The sequence below is a fragment of the Homo sapiens genome, chromosome 9, assembly GCF_000001405.40.
Source record: "Homo sapiens chromosome 9, GRCh38.p14 Primary Assembly".
NCBI classification, from domain to species: Eukaryota; Metazoa; Chordata; class Mammalia; order Primates; family Hominidae; genus Homo; species Homo sapiens.
In genome coordinates, this window is record NC_000009.12 from 96524332 (window position 1) to 96543899 (window position 19568).

The 19568-nt window shown below is 40.1% G+C and overlaps 1 protein-coding gene across 36 annotated transcripts in view; it reads right to left on the bottom strand.

The window, feature by feature from the left end:
* The window catches only part of CDC14B (cell division cycle 14B), a 128905-nt gene that overhangs the window by 33393 nt on the left and 75944 nt on the right, over positions 1 to 19568 (bottom strand). For 32 of the 36 annotated variants that reach the window (XR_007061367.1, XR_007061366.1, XR_929864.4 and 29 more), the window contains 4 exons: positions 17495 to 17561; positions 14747 to 14809; positions 10124 to 10211; positions 9596 to 9826 (listed from right to left, as the gene is read on the bottom strand). Coding sequence is in view for 30 of the 36 variants with exons in the window: in XM_047423999.1 (XP_047279955.1) it covers positions 9596 to 9826; positions 10124 to 10211; positions 14747 to 14809; positions 17495 to 17561 (449 nt within the window). In the remaining 6 variants the exon portion in view is untranslated. Of the gene's footprint in view, positions 1 to 9595; positions 9827 to 10123; positions 10212 to 12614; positions 12718 to 14746; positions 14810 to 17494; positions 17562 to 19568 lie in introns of those variants that run through there. The other 4 variants (XM_017015248.3, XM_047424000.1, XM_017015241.3 and 1 more) reach the window with 2 other exon arrangements.

Consider the following 19568-nt stretch of genomic DNA (forward strand, 5'->3'; position numbering starts at 1 on the left):
TGGAGAATCACTTTCTGAGCAATGATTCTCAGTAAGTGCAGTGTCTTCTGCCCTGGGCATTTTAGAAAAACGGTACCACCATCTTTGCAAAACCAAAGGCTTGTAATTTTGCACTTACTCCCACATCCAATTATGTTTTCTGGTCTGTAATACCCATTTTCACTCAGATTTTTTTAAACCTCTATTGGTGCTGGCCTGTCTTATCTAGACTATTATCATTACCTCCAGTGATGGTTAATTTTATGTGTCAATCCGGAATGAATCTTTGGAGATTAACATTTAAGTTGGTGAGCTTTCAGTAAGCACAGTTCCCTCCATAATGTGGATGGGCCCCATCCAATTAGCTGAAAAACCTGGGCAGAACAAAAACCCTGACTTTCCTGAGCAAGAGACTGCCTTTGGCTTTCATCTGCACCATCAACTCTCCCATGTTTCCAGGCTGCTGGCCCACGCTGCATATTTTGGACTCACCAGAATCCATACTTGCATGAGCCAATTCCTTTTAATAAATCTCCTACATATAAAAAAAATCCTACTGCTTGTTTTTCTGGAGAACCCTAAATACAGATTTGGATCATGAGATAGGGGTCACTGTAACAACTACATAGAAATGGAGAAGTGGCTTTGTGATTGACAACCTTGCATATTTAGCAGGGGAGATTTGTAAGGAAAGTGTTGAAGATACAACCTGGTTTCTCCTTACTGGTTACTGTAAAATGCAAAAGGAAAAAGACGAATTAAAGAAGAAATTGTTAAGCAACAGGGAATCAGGAACTAGAGTCAGAAAATTCTCAGGCTATCCATATTGCAAAAAATAAGAGTGTTACAGAGAGAAAAGTCAAGGGTGTGGCTGGACACTCCCCCTCTAAAGAGATTACCTAGACTTAATCAGCCATCTCAGCAGAAGCAAGGACAAGAGATGGGATTATACCAGCAGAGACACTGGCATCTTGCACTAAAGGGGATGGACATGGAATAAAATAAAGTAAGGCTTTTGGACTTCTGACAGCAGAGCTACCTGGATGCAAACATTCTTTGTCCTTCAAGAAAAGGAAGGATGATCCCAAGGGCAATTTAGAGACCCCCAGTGCTGCCACTGCCACCGAGACACAGAGTATATAAGCTCAGGGAAGGCCTGCCTACTCCTTGATTTCACAGGGTAGGGCCACCTCTATTAGTTACAGCAAACCCAGCTGCCTCTGACCACAGCCCTCAGGGACAAAGCCACTACCCTAGAGGGCCTGGAGGGCAGAGCGTGGAGCCAAAGAGGATGATTCTCTAGCCTTAAGATGTAATGGGATTTGCCTGGCTAGGTTTTGGACTTGCTTAGAAGCTCTTTCTTCTGGTTTCTCCCTTTTGGAATGGTAATGTCTATCCTGTGCCTGTACCATCCCATCACAGCTGGGAGGAATTATGCCTCAGGATGGATCATACCTCAAGTCTCCCCTATACCTGAGTTGGATGCTATTTAGATGAGACTCTGAACTTGGAGTTGATGCCGGAATGAATTGAGATGTTCAGAACTGTTGAGATGGGGTGAATGTATTTTTGAAGTGAAGGGACATAAATTTGAGGGGGGCCAGATGGCAGAATATAATGAACTGAATTGTGTCCCCCCTAACCCAAATCCATATATTGTTCTAAGTCCCAATACAACTGTATTTGCAGATAAGGCCTTTACGGAAATAAATAAGGTCACAGAGTGGGGCCCTAATCCAATAGGACTGTTGTACTTCTAAGAAAAAAAAGAGATAGGCCGGGTGCGGTGGCTCACACCTGTAATCCCAGCAGTTTGGGAGGCCGAGGAGGGCAGATCATGAGGTCAGGAGATTGAGACCATCCTGGCTAACACAGTGAAACCCTGTCTCTACTAAAAAATACAAAAAATTAGCCGGGCGTGGTGGCAGGCACCTGTAGTCCCAGCTACTCGGGAGGCTGAGGCAGGAGAATGGCGTGAACCCGGGAGGCGGAGCTTGCAGTGAGCTGAGATCGCGCCACTTTACTCCAGCCTGGGAGACAGAGCGAGACTCCATCTCAAAAAAATAAAAGAAAGAGACGGCAGGAGTTAAGTGCAAACCATGAGAAGACTCAGAGATGACAGACATCTGCACTGCAAGCCGAGGAGAGAGGCCTCCCCAGAAAACATCCCTGCCAGTGCCTTGCCCTTAGACTTCTAGCCTCCAGAACTGTGAGAGAATTAACTTCTGTTGTTTAAGCCACCCAGTTGGTGATATGCCCCAGCAGATTAATATACCTCTTAATGAATCTCAATTTTCACTGTACAGCCCAATTTTCATACTGTCATCATTTTTCTTCCCTAAACAAAGATGCAATCAAATAAGATCCTCTCTAGGCTTTTAATTGGTCATCATTCTATTTCAGGGTATCTCAACCTCAGCAGTACTAACATTTGAGGCTGGATAATTATTTATAGTGAGGAGCTGTCCTGTGCGCTGTAGGATGTTTAGCAGCATCGCTGATCTCTACCCACCAGATGCCCGTGGTACCCAACCCCCAAAAAAGGTCTCTGCAGGTTGCCAAATGTCGGGTGTGTGATGGGGTTGGGGTGCAAAAGGACCTTGCTGAAGAATTCCTTCAACTGCTTTTTATAATTAAAAAATGAAATAAGCAATGCTGGCTTTTGTTTTAATTATGTTTAAAAATTGGAGTAAAATATACATAAAATTTACCATTTTTCTTCAGGCATCATTTTCCTGATTTCATTTAGTTGTCTGAATTCTGTTTTAGCTCACTGAACATGTTTAAGACAGTTATTTTAAATTCTGTATTGGGGCCGGGTGCGGTGGCTTACACCTGTAATCCCAGCACTTTGGGAGGCCGAGGCAGGTGGATCACAAGAGATCAAGACCATCCTGGCTAACACAGTGAAACCCCGTCTCTAGTAAAAATACAAAAAATTAGCCGGGCGCGGTGGCGGGCGCCTGTAGTCCCAGCTACTGGGGAGGCTGAGGCAGGAGAATGGCGTGAACCTGGGAGGCAGAGGTTGCAGTGAGCTGAGATCGTGCCACTGCACTCCAGCCTAGGCGACAGAGCAAGACTCCGTCTCAAAAACAAAAACAAAAAAATTCTGTATTGGTTAATTCGGAAACTTGTATTTCCTTAGTGTAAGTTTCTGAATATCATTTTAACCACTTTTTATGTGTACAGCTCAGTAGCATTAAGTACATTCACATTGTTGTACAAACATTACCACCATCCATCTTCAGAACGTATTTCATCTTACAAAACGGAAACTCTGGACCCATTTTTATTTTTTATTATTTTTATTTATTTATTTTTTTGAGATGGAGTCTTGCTCTGTCGCCCAGGCCGGAGTGCAATGGCGCAATCTCAGCTCACCGCAAGCTCCACCTCCCGGGTTCACGCCCTTCTCCTGCCTCAGACTCCCGAGTAACTGGGACTACAGGCGCCCACCACCAAGCCTGGCTAATTCTTTGTATTTTTAGTAGAGATGGGGTTTCACCGTGTTAGCCAGGATGGTCTTGATCTCCTGACCTCGTGATCCGCCCACCTCAGCCTCCCAAAGTGCTGGGATTACAGGCGTGAGCCACCGTGCCCAGCCAACTCTGGACCCATTAAACAATAACTACCAATCCCTGCCTCCCCTCAGGCCCTGGCAACCACCAATCTACTTTCTCTTACCCCAAGTATCTCATACAACTGGATTCATACAATATCTGTCCTTTTCTGACTGGCAAACCTAAATTGGCCTAATATCTTTAAGGTTCATCCATGTGGCAGTACATGTGTCAGAATTTTCTTCATTTCTAAAGATGCATAATATTCTGTTGTATGATATAGCACATTTTCTTTAGCCATTTCTTTAGCCTTCCTCTGATGGAAACCTGGATTGCTTCCACCTTTTGGCTATTCAGAGTAATGCTGCTGGCCGGGCGTGGTGGCTCACACCTGTAATCTCAGAACTTTGGGAGGCCAAGGCGGGTGGACTACTTGAGGTCAGGAGTTCGAGACCAGCCTGGCCAACATGGTGAAACCCTGTTTCTACTAAAAATACAAAAATTAGCTGGATGTCATGGTGCGTGCCTGTCATCCCAGCTACTCTGGAGGCTGAGGCAGGAGAATCACTTGAACCCAGGTGGCAGAGGTTGCAGTGAGCCAAGATTGCACCACAGCACTCTAGTCTGGGAAACAGAGTGAAAGTCCATCTCAAAAAAAAGAAAAAAAAAGAAGAAGAAGAAGAATGCTGCTACAACATGGGTGTAAAAATATCTGTTCATATCCCTGCTGTCAATTGTTTCTGAGCATATAACCAGAGATGGAACTGCTGAATGACGTTAATTTTTTCAGGAACTGCCACACCATTTTCCATAGCAGCTGCATTGTTTTATACTCCCACTAGCAGTACACAAGGCTTCTAATTTTCTCCACATCTCCACACTTGTAATTTTCTGGTGGTGATGTTTTTGTTCTTTTAGATAACAGCCATCCCAATGGGTATAAAGTGGTATCTCACTGTGGTTGTGATTTGACTTTCCCTATAAGTCAAAAATGCTGAGAACTTTACTTGTGCTCACTGGCCATTTTATATCTTTGGAGAAAGGTGTATTCAAGTCCTCTTCCCATTTATGAACTGGGTTTTGTTGTTGTTTTTAGGCGTTTTCTCTATATCTTCTGGATGTTAATCCCTTATCAGAAGTGATTTGCAAATATTTTCTCCCAATCCATGGGTTACCTTGTTACTCTGCTGATAGTATACTTTGATGCACAAAAGTTTTAAAATTTTATATAGTCCGATTTGTCTGTTCTTTCATTGTCAGTGCCTTTGGTGTCATATTACTGCCAAATCTAATGTCATGAAGTTTTCACCCTCTGTTTTCCTCTAAGAGTTTTATAGTTTTAAGTCCTATATTTAGGTCCTTGATCCATTTTAATTTTTGTATATGGTGTTATGTAAGGGCCCAATTTCATTCTTTTACATGTGGATATCAGGTTTTCCCAGCACCATTTGTTGAAAAGACTGTCCTTTCCCCATTGAGTGGTTTCTGTATCCTTCTTGAATGTCATTTGACCATATACACAAGGATTTATTTCTGAGCTCTCTATCCTATCACTGGTCTATGTATCTGTCTTTATGCCAGTACCACACAATCTTGATTGATGTAGCTTTGTACTAAGCCTTTTTTTTTTTTTTTTTTTGAGACGGGATCTCACTACGTCACCCAGGCTGGAATGCAATGGCACAATCATGGCTCACTGCCGCCTCAACCTCGCAGGTTCAAGGGATCCTGCTATCTAAGCTTCCCGAGTAGCTGGGACTACAGGTAAACACCACCACACCCAGTTAATTTTTGTATTTTTTAGTAGAGATGGGGTTTTGCCATGCTGTCCAGGGTGGTCTTAAACTCCTGGGCTCAAGCAATCCTTCTGTCTCAGCCTCCCAAAGTACTGGGATTACAGGTGTTAAGCTACCATGCCCAGCCTGTATGAAGTTTTAAACCAGGAAGTGAGTCCTCCAACCTTTTTATTCTTTCTCAAGATTGTTTTGGCCATTTGGCATCCCTTGAGATTCCAAATGAATTTCAGAATCATTTTTCTATTTTTGCAAGAAATGTTGAAATTTTGACAGGCTTGCATTGAATCTGTATATCCCTTCGGGCAATACTGACATGTTAACAATATTAAGTCACCCAGTGCACAAATGTGATGTCATTACATTTAATTACATCTTCTTTAATTTTCCTCAAAAATGTTTTATACAAATCTTTCATCTCCTTGGTTAATTCCCCAATATTTGATTCTTCTTGATGCTATTATAAATGAAACTGTATTCTTAGTTTCTTTTTTATATTTTTATTGTCAGGGCTTAGAAACAAGGGATTTTTGCCTGTTGATTGTATATGCTGCTACTTCTTTGCTGAACTCATTTATTAATTCTAGCAGGGGCTCTGTGTGTGTGTGCGTAATCTTGAGGGTTCTCTCTCTGTTTTTTTTTTTTTGGAGACAGAGTCTTGCTCTGTCCCCCAGGCTGGAGTGCAGTGGCGAGATCTCAGCTCACTGCAACCTCCACCTCCCAGATTCACGCAATTCTCCTGCCTTAGCATGCGCCACGCCCGGCTAATTTTTTTTTTTTTTTTTTTTGGTATTTTAGTAGAGGCGGGGTTTCACCGTGTTGCCCAGGCTGGTCTCAAACTTCTGAGCTCAGGCAATCTACCCACCTCGGCCTCCCAAAGTGCTAGGATTACAGCCAAGAGCCATTGCACCTGGCCCAGGGTTTTCTATAATACATATAAGTCATATCATCTGCAAAAAGATAATTTTACTTCCCCCTGTCTAATTTCGATTTTTTTTTTTTTTGCTTACTTCCTTTGGCTAGAACTTCCATTACCATGTTAAATAGAAGCCACAAAACCAAGCCTCCTTGTCTTCTTCATGAGCTTAGAGGAAAAGCTTTCAGTCTTTCACCATTGAGTATGATGTTAGCTGTGGGCTTTTCACATACGGTTCTTATGTTGAGGTAATCTCCTTCTATACCTAGTTTGTACTGTGTTTTTATCACAAAAGGGTAATGACTTTTGTCAGACGCTTTTTGTGCAGAGATGATCGTATGGTTTTTGTCCTTAACGTGGTATATCACACTGATTGATTTTCATATGTTGAACCACTCTTGTAATCATGGGATAAATCCTACTTGGTCATGGCACACAATCCTTTTAAATATGCTGCTGAATTCCATTGGCTAGTATTTTGTTCAAGGTTTTCACATCGATGTTCGTAAGGGATACTGGCCTATAGTTAGTTATCTTATAGTGTCTTTTTGTTTTTGGTATCAGGGTAATGCTGACCTTATTGAGTTAGAAAGTGTTCCTTTTTCCTCAAATTTTCAGAAGAGTTTGAGAAGGACTGGTTTTAGTTTTTTAAGTGTTTGGTAGAATTTACTGGTGATGCTATCATGTCCAGGGTTTTGCTTTCTCAGGAGGTTTTGGATTACTTAATCTCCTTATTAGTTAGGGGTCTGTTCAGATTTTCTATTTCTTTATGATTTAGTTCTGGTGTTTTGTTTTTCTAGGAATTTGTCCATTTCATGTAGACTATCCAATTTGTTGTCCTACAATACTGATCATTTTTACGTACTGATCAGCTTTATTTCTGTAGTATCAGTGGTAATGCCATTTTCATTTCTAATTTTAGTAATTTGAGTCTTCTTCCTTTTATACTTCATCATTCTAGCTAAAGGTTTATCATTTTTGTTATTCTTCTTAAAGAACCAACCCTTGGTTTTGTTCATTTTCTCTATTGGTTTTCTACTCTCTATTTTATAAATTACAATAATATACTACTTGCAATTTTTGTATATAATAATACACAAAAATTATACTACTTGCAAACGACAAATTATTTTACAAATTACAATAATTTACATATTATAATATTTGCAAGTTACAATAACAAGTTACAGTAATAATATTTTACAAATTATCTTGTTACAATAAAACTAGCTTTTATAGTGGTCCTTGTATTTGCCTTTATCAGAAATCTTTATTTCCTCTTCTCAAATGGCTGTGTGTTACTGTCTAGTGTGCCTTCATTTCAACCTAAAAGACTCCCCCTTTAGAGTTTCTTGCAAGTCAGATCTAGTGATTAAAAACTCCCTTTTAAGTGTTTGGTAGAATTTACTGGCGATGTTATTATATCCAAGGTTTTGCTTTGTCAGGAGGCTTTGGACTACTTAATCCCCTTACTAGTTAGGGGTCTATTCAGATTTTCTATTTGTTTTTTGCAAGTTACAATATTTACAAGTTACAGTAATAATATTTTACAAATTATCTCGTTACGATAATACTAGCTTTTATAATGGTCCATGTATTTGCCTTTATCAGAAAGGCAAACTGATTGCCTGGGCAAAGTCTTAATTTTTCCATTATTTTTGAAGGAGTTTTGCCAGATGTAGAATTCTTAACAGGTTTTCCCTCACTTATGCATTTTGAATATATCAACCCACTGCCTTCTGGCCTGCAATGTTTCTGATGAGAGATCTGCTGACAATCTCAGTGGTATCCCCTGTATGTGGTAGGTCACTTCTCTCTTGCTGCTTTCAAGACTGTCTGTGGCATTATAGCTTGATTATAATGCATGTTCACATGGGCCTCTGAGTTTATCCTGCTTGGAGTTTGTTGAGCTTCTTGGATATTCCTGCATATATCAAATCTGGGGAGTTTTCAGCCAAATCATCTGTCTGCTCCTTTACTTCTCTTCTCCCTCTGGAACTCCCACGATCTGTATCTTGGTCTACTTGGGTGTGTCTCAGGGATCCCTTAAATTCTGTTCATTTATGTTATGCTCTTTATTCTTTCTGTTCCTCAGACTTGCTAATTCTTTAATGATTCTAGCTTCACACGCACTGATTCTTCTGCCTGCTCAAATATGCTTTTGAATCCCTCCAGTGAATTTTTCATCTCAGTTTTAGTACATTTCCAGAATTTCCTTTTGGTTCCCTTTTATGTGTTCTTTTTATAACTGATATTAGTATTTCTTCATAAATCGTTTCCTTGACTTTTCCCACATATTCTTTTAACTCTTGGGTATCTTTAAGATGGTTATTTAAAATTTTTTGCCTACTAAGTCCACAATTTGATCTTTCTCAGGGATAGCTTCTGTGGATTTATTTCTTCTTCTTTTTTTTGTTCTGTCTATTGGCCAGGCTGGAGTGCAGTGGCATGATCTCAGCTCATTGCAACCTCTGCCTTCCGGGTTCAAGTGATTTTTGTGCCTCAGCCTCCAAAGTAGCTGGGATTACAGGTATCCGTCACCACACCCAGCTAATTTTTTTGTATTTTTAGTAGAGACAGGGTTTCACTATTTTGGCCAGGCTGGTCTCAAACTCCTGACCTCAGGCGATCCGCCCGCCATGGCCTCCCAAAGTGCTGGGATTATAGGCGTGAGCCACCATGCCCGGCCTGGATTTATTTCTTCCCTTTGAATAGGCTATACTTTCCTGTTTCTTTGTATGCCATGTAATTTTTCAATAAAAACTGAAATGTGATGTTTTGCCATTATATTTAAAACTACAAATACAGCAGTAACTCTGGAGATCAGTCTCCCCCTTTCCCCAAGGCTTGCTGAGCTTTTTTTCCAATATTGGATTTTTGTAACAAAACTATATTTCTTGTTTCTTAATTAACTAACAAGAGAGTTAAATAAATCCTACTATCTTCATACCATTTATTATTGTATAGTCATTCATTTATTCAAAAAATATCTATTAAGTGCCAGGCACTGTTACAATTGCTGAAAACAGAGCAACTTGTTAAGAATATAGTTTCCATTAAGACAGGCTCTTACAGTCTACGCTACTCATTGATGTATCCTAGAATTATATAGGATGCACCCAATAAATATTTGATGAATAAATAAATGCATTTCAATGTGATGTATTTGTAGAATTACTTATGAAAATAAGTTACTATACTTTTCATCTGAAATCAAAGGTTTCACGGCACTCTAAAAATAAAGGCAGTTTCATGTTCTGACACATAAACTAAATGAATATGGTCTGTTTCTACATATTCATATACTCATACTGTATACTATTCTTTAACCACCCCTAGAAACATACCTTTGCAATGTACTGCAATGGCACCCTCAGCATTTTCACAGATATCTAGGAATTCTTTGACAATGGCATCAGTAGGGGTGCTGCCATCCGCAAAGAAAAGATCATGGTGATCGAAGCCAGCATCCGTAAAGCGTTTGGCATCATACATCCTTTTATTCAGACGAATAATGGTAGTAACATTGTGATTCTTAAAATATTGAATATAAGTCTCAGGAGAATGTTGGTGGTAACCTACATAAAGAAATGCACCAGATCTTATAAAACACATAAAGAAAACAATGGCTAATAGTTTCACCTGTAACTGAACGGAAACAGTATCTGGACTGGGAATTAAATACCAATTTGATTATAACTGTAAAAAACAAAAGAAAAGAAAGTTAAAATCCAGTCAGAATGATCTACTGAAGTGACCAAGTATGCTTAAATAATAATTAACACTTGGTCAAGCTTGGTGTAACTCTTTCAAAAGAAAATATAGGATAGATATTTTCAATAACAAAATGAGATTAATGCCATAATTTCACATACCACTTTCAAGTCTGGCTCTTGAATGAGGTCCACAGAAGGCAATAAATCGGTCTGGTATTATCCAATTTAAATCTCCATTTTCTGCTTTCTGCAAGGGGAAGACCAGCACAATTCGTTTTTAAATGTATTCTCCCCACAACCTCTCTACTCAAGACTGAGTCTCTGAAGGACTTCAAACTCATTTGCTTTAGCGGAAAAGCTGTTTACAAATTGCCATGAGACAGGAATCTCAATTTGCCCTGCTATAAGTATATCTAGGGAATGGACGTATATCCTGTTCCTAATCATCTTCTTTTAACAGTGTTTCATTGCTAGGGTATCAGCCCTTGGAATACAGAGCTGACTGCTGCCATACAAATATACTATTTGGTTATTTTATCTGAATCAATTCTCATTATAGTTGCTGCTAATTAATAAGAAAGCAAGCAAACTTTTCCAGTATAAGGAATCTGGGAACTTCCCTGTTTTCCTGAATGACTAACTGGCTTCCAACATGAGCAATCTTGACTCCACGAATAAAGGGGGAAAAACTATCTACTTAGGTTTCTGGCTTCCCAATATTTACTTACTTACCTACTTACAGAGATATATCTTTCCACTATCTTCCTAACTATTTAATAAGGCAACCAATTTAAAAAGTTCATTTGTTCGTGATCAGCCTGACCAACATGGAGAAATCCTGCCTCTACTAAAAACTACAAAATTAGCCAGGCATGGTGGCGCATGCCTGTAATCCCAGCTACTCGGGAGGCTGAGGCAGGAGAATTGCTTGAACCCAGGAGGCGGAAGTTGTAGTGAGCCGAGATTGTGCCATTGCACTCCAGCCTGGGCAACAAGAGCGAAACTCTGTCTCAAAAAACAAAAATTAAAAAAATAAATAAATAAATGCACTGAACCGACCAGGAAACTAAAAAATTACAAGTATACCAAGATCACAGTATGTCCCTACAAAAAAACAAATATAAACTGATATGTAAGACATGTTACTTCCTGTTATTAGGTCCTTTGGATTGAGTTACCATTACTATTATAACATAGATACAGTTCAAATTTAACAATAATAGAAACTTCTGTCTTAATGAAATGGACAACAGAGACTTAAGCAGGAAGTAGAAGACACTTGATAGTGCAGAAGGAGAGGACTCGTGATTAAAAACAACAGATAAATTAGCTTTGAAATTGGGGTGTTTCTACGTGTACCTAAAAATGAGTAAAAAATAACAGAGTTTCTTGAATATCTACAGGGACCAAGCAGGTAATCCCAAACCAGTTTACTGGACTTAATGATCAACATGGGGAATCAGTCAGCCCATGTTCCATAATACAAAGGTCTAAACAGCCGGGTGCAGTGGCATGCACCTGTAGTCCTAGCTACTTGGGAGGCTGAGGCAGAAGGATCACTTAAGCCCAGGAATTTGAGTCCAGCCAGGGCAACACAGTGAGACCCTCTCTCTTTAAATAAAAAGAAAAGGAAAGGTCAAAGCAGGAATGAGGGCAGCTGTTGCCAGATATTCTGATTTTAAAGTGAAATCAGAAATCTGGACTTTTAAATAACAAACCCGTGATCAGTTGTTGGCAACAACTAGATTTCACTGAATTGCTGATGCCATTAATTAAGATACATCCTGAATTCAGAGGAGCTGAAATAGGAAAAAATGGGCATTGTAGAATCAATGAATGACACTATCCCCAAATTTCTAAATACACTATAATAACTGAACTGGTGTGTGGGAACCTAAACAGTTCCCTGTGTCACCACACAGCTTCATGGAGGTGAAGACGTTTGTGGTGTGCCCCTGCTACCCCCCAGCCCAGACCCTCCAATCTCTACAGTAGTAACAGGGGAGTTACTTAGTGCCTATATTATTCATTAATAGCACACAAAGGCATCACTACAAAAGGAACAAATACCAACTAGTGTTTTTAGCAGTTTTGCTTACATAGACAAAGTAACTTGTTTCAAATGTTTAATGTTTTAAGGACAAGCGCAAAAAAGGTGTTAATAACTTAGCTATATTCTGTAAGTTTAAGGTGCTAGTTAAATGTACGTTGTACTTTAGAAATGGACTGCTATCAGAGAAGTAAAGACAGGGTTGGCCCTAATGAATCCTACAATGTATTCTTACATCTTTGGTACATCACAGAAACAACTGAGTGTCATTATTAACTGAAATTGAAAAAACAGTTCAGTTAAACGTAAGAGTTTGAAATAATATTTACTTTGGACGTTGTGAAAAAGAATTCTCTGAGGATTCAAGATGCTGCCACATGAAGTGCTGCTGTTTGAGGAATCATCTCCCCAGTGCTGGGGAGCAAGTCTGCTCAAGGTAACTACAGCAGGGTAAGAAGACAGGAGGCTACAACTACTCTGGGCTGAAAAGGGCTTTAGCACAGTATCTTACTCATTCCCTATTTGGAGGATAAAGCTGTAGAATCAAATTATTTATTCTTTTTAAAATATATATACTATGTTAAAAAACATAGAACACACCTGTGGTTTTGCCTGGCTTATCTCTCCCTGGCCCTGTCCTATGTTTTTAAGAAATTTTGTGTGGTTGGGTGCCGTGGCTTACATCTGTAATCCCAGCACTTTGGGAGACTGAGGCAGGTAGATCCCTTGAGTGCAGGAGTTTGTGACCAGGCTGGGAAACATGGCGAAATCCCATCTCTACAAAAAAATTACAAAATTAGCTGGGCATGGTGGCACGTGCCTGTAGTCCCCGTTACTGGGAGGCTGAGGTGGGAGGATCACTTGAACCTGGGAGAGAGAATGCAGTGAGCCAAGATCGCACCACTGCACTCCAGCCTGGGCAGCAGAGTGAGACCCTGTCTCTAAAAAAGAAAGAAAGAAAAATAAAATAAAATAAAACTGTTAGAAAATAAATTTTTTTTTGGTCCGGCTGGTTTGATGGGGCTGACCCTATGCCCCAGGCTCCTGGGATGGCCAGAGAACTAAGGCTGGCCAGAGTATTCCTTAGCCCTGCCCTGCCAAAGAACACAGGCTGGTGCAGAGATGGGCACATGACGTAAGTCAGGCCAGTGAGAGGCATTCCTGGGCCTTCTGATGGAGCTAAGATTACACTTTTCTGATCATTTTGCCAAACTGGCAGGTCAAAGTTGCTGGTGGCCATCTTTATCACTACTGGAGAAGGCTGGCCTGAGAATAAAACTAACTTCAAGTCCAATTTCTGATTAAGTGTCTGAGCACCTGAAGGGGCATGCTAGAAGCCAATCCTATTCCTGGACTTTTAATTTATGTAATCCAGTAAATTTTTCCCTTTTTTTTGAGACAGAATCTTGCTCTGTCACCCAGGCTGGAGTGCAGTGGGGTGATCTTGGCTCACGGCAACCTCTGCCTCCCGGGTTCAAGTGATTCTCCTGCCTCAGCCTCCTGAGTAGCTGGGACTACAGGCGCCCACCACCACGCCTGGCTAACTTTTTGTATTTTAGAGATGAGGTTTCACCATGTTGCCCAGGCTGATCTCAAACTCCTGAGCTCAGGCAATCTGCCCCTCTAGGCCTCCCAAAGTGCTAGGATTACAGGCATGAGCCACTGCGCCTGGCAGATTTTTCCTTTTTTATTTAAGCTATTTGTGTTTACTTTCTGTAACTTGCAACCAGAAGTGTCCTGACAAACCGAAGGTTATGGCAAAAACAAAGATATTTTCCAGAGATAATTAGGTGTATAATGACTATTCATCTCATCTTATTCTATGCTAAGGGTTTTAAAAGCATCTCAATCACTGTGTGACAGCCATCAATACTAAAATACATTTAAACTAAACAGTATAAAGAACACACGGGGCACACTCATTCACTCTAGAATTGTGCATCAAATGCAGAAATTCCCACTGAGAATTGGGACAGGAGAAATAGGGATAAGAAGATGAAGACTTGACTTTTTTTCACTCTATACACGTCTAAAACAAAACAAGAATATTGCTTCTGTAAGTGAAATGGGTGATTAAGAAAGCTAAAAACAGGGCCGTGCACAGTGGCACACATCTGTGATCCTAGCACTTTGGGAGGCCAAGGTGGGAGAAGTGCTTGAGGCCAGGAGTTCAACTCTAGCCTGGGCAACAAAGTGAAACCCCATCTCTACAAAAATAAAAATTAAAAAATTAGCCTGGCATGGTGGTACATACCTGTGATTCCAGCTACTTGGGAGGCTGAAGAGAGAGGATCATTTAATCCCAGAAGTTCAAGGCTGCAGTGAGCCATGTATACCACTGCACTTCAGCCTAGGTAACAGAGCGAGACTTGGTCTCTCTCTTTTTTTTTCAATTTAAAAAAAGAAAAATTAAAAACAGGCAGAGAAATTTTGGTCAGAGTACAAACCATCAGAGGATAAGTAAATTCTGGAGATCTAATGTGTGTACTGTATGCTTGAAATCTGCTAGAGTACATCTCAGGTATTCTCATCACACACGCCAAAAGACTAAATTATGTGAGGTGATGAATATGTTAATTAGCTTGATTAGGTAATCATTTCATGGTGTATACATATATCAAAACATTACTTTGTACATCTTAAGTATATATAAGTTTTATTTGTCAATTATTCCCCTCAATAAAGCTGGGCGGGGGGAGGAAGAGTTGAAAACATGATCCTTGAAGACTTACTTCATAGTGTTCATATTCATCAAGGTTAAATGAGTTGAAATTAAGGAAGCCATACTGCATTGCCTAAAATCCAAAAGAAAGCTTTTAAGAACAAGGATGCAAATAAGAAAACAGTTTCCTATCCAATTTCAGAATACTAAATATCAGGGGCCCCCCAAGAAAGTATTGTCATGATCAGATTACTTTCCACTGAACAGCTTTCAAAGGAAGTGGGCGGCGTCTTCTAAGTGCTTCTTTTATATGGAAATTAATTATAACTATATGTAATAAGTTTGTTGTGTTTTGTTTGGATTTTGTTTGTGAGATGTGCTTTTTTATTTTCATTCACCAGTCATCCTATCCATGTATTGTTAAATAATCACGCCCTGAAAGTAATCCTCTTCTCTTACCAGATCACTACCACCCCTGGCTGAAAATTCAGAAGTTTAGGATTCAAATATAATGCACAACCCAATGGTCTCTACATCGATAAGAAAGAGGAGAGAATCCATGTGCTAGTTTATCCCAAACAAAACCCTCATACTTCATCCATATCTTCATTTTCAAATTCTTCCGAACAGTCTTTAATCAATGTTCCCTAAAGTAAACAGCTCTGACATCAACACTAAAATCAAAACTTTTGAGGAAAAAAAAGATATTCTTTCCATAGGAATAAAACAAAAAAAATTTCTGTCCTATCCTATAGCCTTACTCTGTGTGATAGCAGGCAGAGTATGATAACCAAAATAAGCAGAGTGTCTATTTTCTGAGACAAGGACAAACAGACCTAGCAGCCTCTGAGAAATATCCTCCTGGCTGCTGATCCCTGAGCCAAACAGGAGGGAAGCAAGAATTGCTGATCCACAAGGTATTCTTGGTTCAAAGAGGGGGCTTTTGTACACCCAGTTTTCAAAAGTAAACTACTGAAATACAAATGTAAAATAAGAAGGCTAGAATATCAACTAAAAAGGTCTTCATTTTATATAGTTATTTAAACACTAATCCCAAGACTAAGTCAATCACAAAATTTATTTCCTTGACTGCAATATATTTCATGATTTTGGACTACAGCTATTTCTAATAGAATGAAACAATAAAAAAAAGTAGTTTATAAGGAATTCCTATTTTCCTTTGAATTTCATGAGGTGATCTTATTGGAAGTGAATCACACTGAAAACATAATTACATTGATGCATGTTTCTTCATATATGCAATATTCAAAATCAGTCACAAATAAAAAATGCTTACACTGCAAATCAGAAGATAGTGACCCTTAAATAAAACTAAATATAGTGGCTGGGTGCGGTGGTGCACGCCTGTAATCCCAGCACTTTGGGAGGCCAAGGTGAGTGGATCGCTTGAGCTCAGGAGTTTGAGACCAGCCTAGGCAACATAGTGAGACCTCATCTCCACAAAAAATATAAAAATTAGCTGAGCATAGCAGAAAAAATGAAAATTTAATTTTAAAAAAACCCAAAATATAGTATGCAAATGGCAATCTTTGACCTATCGTACCAGCTAATTGACTTTGGGTGCAATACCCAATTAAAAAAAAAAAAGCCAAAAAATAATAATAGAAGCTGCCATATGGTGTTATAATAGATCATTTCCAAACCCCTCAAAGCTTTACTTTTCTCTTTTTAAAGGTGAGTGTGCCTGCCTGCATGAGCCCACCTGGCAGGGGCTGCAACTGCAACCAGAAGGTACCATTTACACCTGTTGCCCTTTGGTCTCCTGATTTCCACCAGTGCCCCATACCTGCCCACACTGAGGGCCCATGGAGCCGCCTCAGAGCTCATGGCAACTACCCCAATCAGCTCCATATCCCACAGTCACTGGGCTCAAATCCAAACAATGTGCCCATACCTCATTGATTGATACAGGGAAAAAAGTATATCAATTAGTCTCTGAATTTGTATGCTGATTAGTCCTCTCGTTTTAAGACATGTCTGTCACAATTCCCAGCAAGCCACCATGTTTCATTATACAAGAAAGTAAACCTGGGTTCCTTTTGGCTCTAAAAGCACAAGTTACAGAAAAATGCTGTCAAAGGCTTATTTGATCCATGGGCTACTGATTTACCATTCTAGTTTCTCCTGCTGTCCTGACATTAATACCAGGACTTGCTGCACTGTGTGACCCCAGGGGACCCTGTTCACGTAGAACGTGATAGGGAGGGTGTCCCCTGGAATCAACACAGCAGCCCTGGTTATGACCCAAGGAATCACTTGGAAATAGTTTGACAAAGCAGCAGTGACCCACTTAGTTTCACATAAAACTGTATAACAAACTAATTGAGGCATTCAAATTCTGTTGAACTAGAAATTGAACGCCTGACAAAACAAAAATGAAGTGTTTGACAGTGACTGTGTTACGTCTGTTGTAATGGTATTGGCAGGAATCAGGTATATAGAATATACAAATCAAAGAGAACTTACCAGTAAACAAGTCATCTTTACTTTTGTTCTTTTAGATCATAATATACTCAAAACCAATTCTGGATCTAGAACCTAATCGTATAACTCTTATTTTCCCTGTTTCTTAAGTGACTTTTCCCCCAACTCATACATAGAAGCACTCAGAAATTCAGAATAAACTGTTTCCTGGTTTGGTCTCATTCTGACATTAGTTGGGAAATGGAGCACCTCTGTCACCATAGGCATCTTGGAAGAAACACTAACAAAAAGATCTCGGGAAGAAGGCCTAGTTTTCTTGGACCGCATGTTAGTTCCTCAACACAACACTGGGTGCATCCTACATGTCACTCACCTTCTTTACTGCATGAAAACAGTCAAGAAGTGTAATGTAGAAATTGCAACTTCCATAGGCAGCATCTCTGAAACCCAAGAGTAATAAAATGTAGATCAGTTAATTTTCTGCAATTACACTTACCTAAGACAAAGGTGACTAGAATTTAAAATCAAATGTACACTCTGAACCATTATCAAGAAGAAAAAAATCTCGCCTTTTGACTTTTAAATAAAAGATAAATCAATTACAAATTTCACTGCAGTTTCTACCTATTCCAATAGGTACTGTTTTATGGGCCTGGATCAATAATGACCACTTCCTAAATTTCAAATGTTCTCTCTGGATTATTTTTGGCTTTAACAGCTGAGCCACCTTCTTGAATTCAACAAATCAATACCTATCTCTCCCCCAAAGGGGCAAAGCATTTGAATTTTTTCTTTAAACTGGAAAATACCGTATGAAAATCTTACTGGGAAAGACTGCTTTTTGATCCTGTAATAAACATATGTGTGTATGTGTGTCTATTTATACGTGTGTCTGTCTGTGTGTGTGTGTCTCCAACCAAGTATGACAGAAATACTGAGAAATCAAGGTCACATTTAAAATATTAGGTAGAAGGTCATAAGCATTTTGTTGCTATCGTTATCCTAAAGACTTTTACCCATTTAACTGGGTAACTTCTGGGTTTTTTTTTTAAACTTTTTTATAGAGATAACGTCTTGCCCTGTTGCCCATGTTGGGGTGCAGTGCAGCTCACTGCAGCCTCAAACTCCTGGGTTTAAGTGATCCTCCCACCTCAGTGTCCCCAGTAGCAAGGACCACAGGCATGTATCACCGCATCTAGCTAACTTTTTTTTTTTTTTTTAAGGTAGAGATGGAGTCTCATTATGATACCAAGGCTGGTCTTAAACTCCCGGCCTCTGCCGGGCGCAGTGGCTCAGGCATGTAATCCCAGCACTTAGGGAGGCCGAGGCAGGTGGATCACGAGGTCAGGAGTTCAAGACCAGCCTGGCTAAGATGATGAAACCCTGTCTCTACTAAAAATACAAAAATTAGCCAGGCACGGTGGTGGGCGCCTGTAATCCCAGCTACTCAGGAGGCTAAGGCAGAGAATTGCTTGAACAAGAGAGATGGAGGTTGCAGTGAGCCGAGATCATGCCACTGCACTCCAGCCTGGGCGACAAAGTGAGACTCTATCTCAAAAAACAAAAAACAAAAAACAACAAGCCCAAAACACCCACACAACTGGCTGGGCACAGTGGCTAACGCCTGTAATCCCACCACTTTGCGAGGCCGAGGCAAGTGGATCACAAGGTGAGGAGATCGAGATCTTCCTGGCTAACACGGTGAAACCCTGTCTCTACTAAAAATACGAAAAATGAGCCGGGCGTGGTGGGGGGCACCTGTAGTCCCAGCTACTCCGAGGCTGAGGCAGGAGAATGGCGTGAACCCGGAGGCGGAGCTTGCAGTGAGCGGAGCTTGCGCCATTGCACTCCAGCCTGGGTGACAGAGCGAGACTCGAGACTCGTCTCAAAAAAAAAAAAAACTTCTAGCCTCAAGCAGTCTTCTCACCTTTTTGGCCTCCCGAAGTGTTGAGATTACAGGTGTAAACAGCTGTGCCCTACCTTCTTTCTGATTTTTAAAGGACAGTAATACCAATAAAACCACAGGAACTAACAAGTCAACTACCTTCCACAGGATCACTCTAGTTTTGGGAAAGTGCTTATATTACTTTACAGACAACTCCAGCCAAACACTGCATCAATACATACCAGTAAATCTTCCTATACAAATCTCTTAATATCAAGTAAGGTTTTACCCAGAGAAATAAGGCACCCCGACCCCTACCCTGCTTCTCCTTTTTGGCTACCTTGAGCCATTACAAGATGAAATCTTCTGGAATTAGGCAACATAAAAATTAATTTAATTATGATTAAGCTAGGCATGCAGAAAAACTGTGCCTATCTGAATGGTACTCATTTGCTCCTGGGGAAACAGGGTTGCTGGTGGAGCTATCACTAATTCCCCACCTTATTTGGGTCTTCACACTGTAATATTTCTTACTGTGTGGTAGTTACATAAATACATGTAA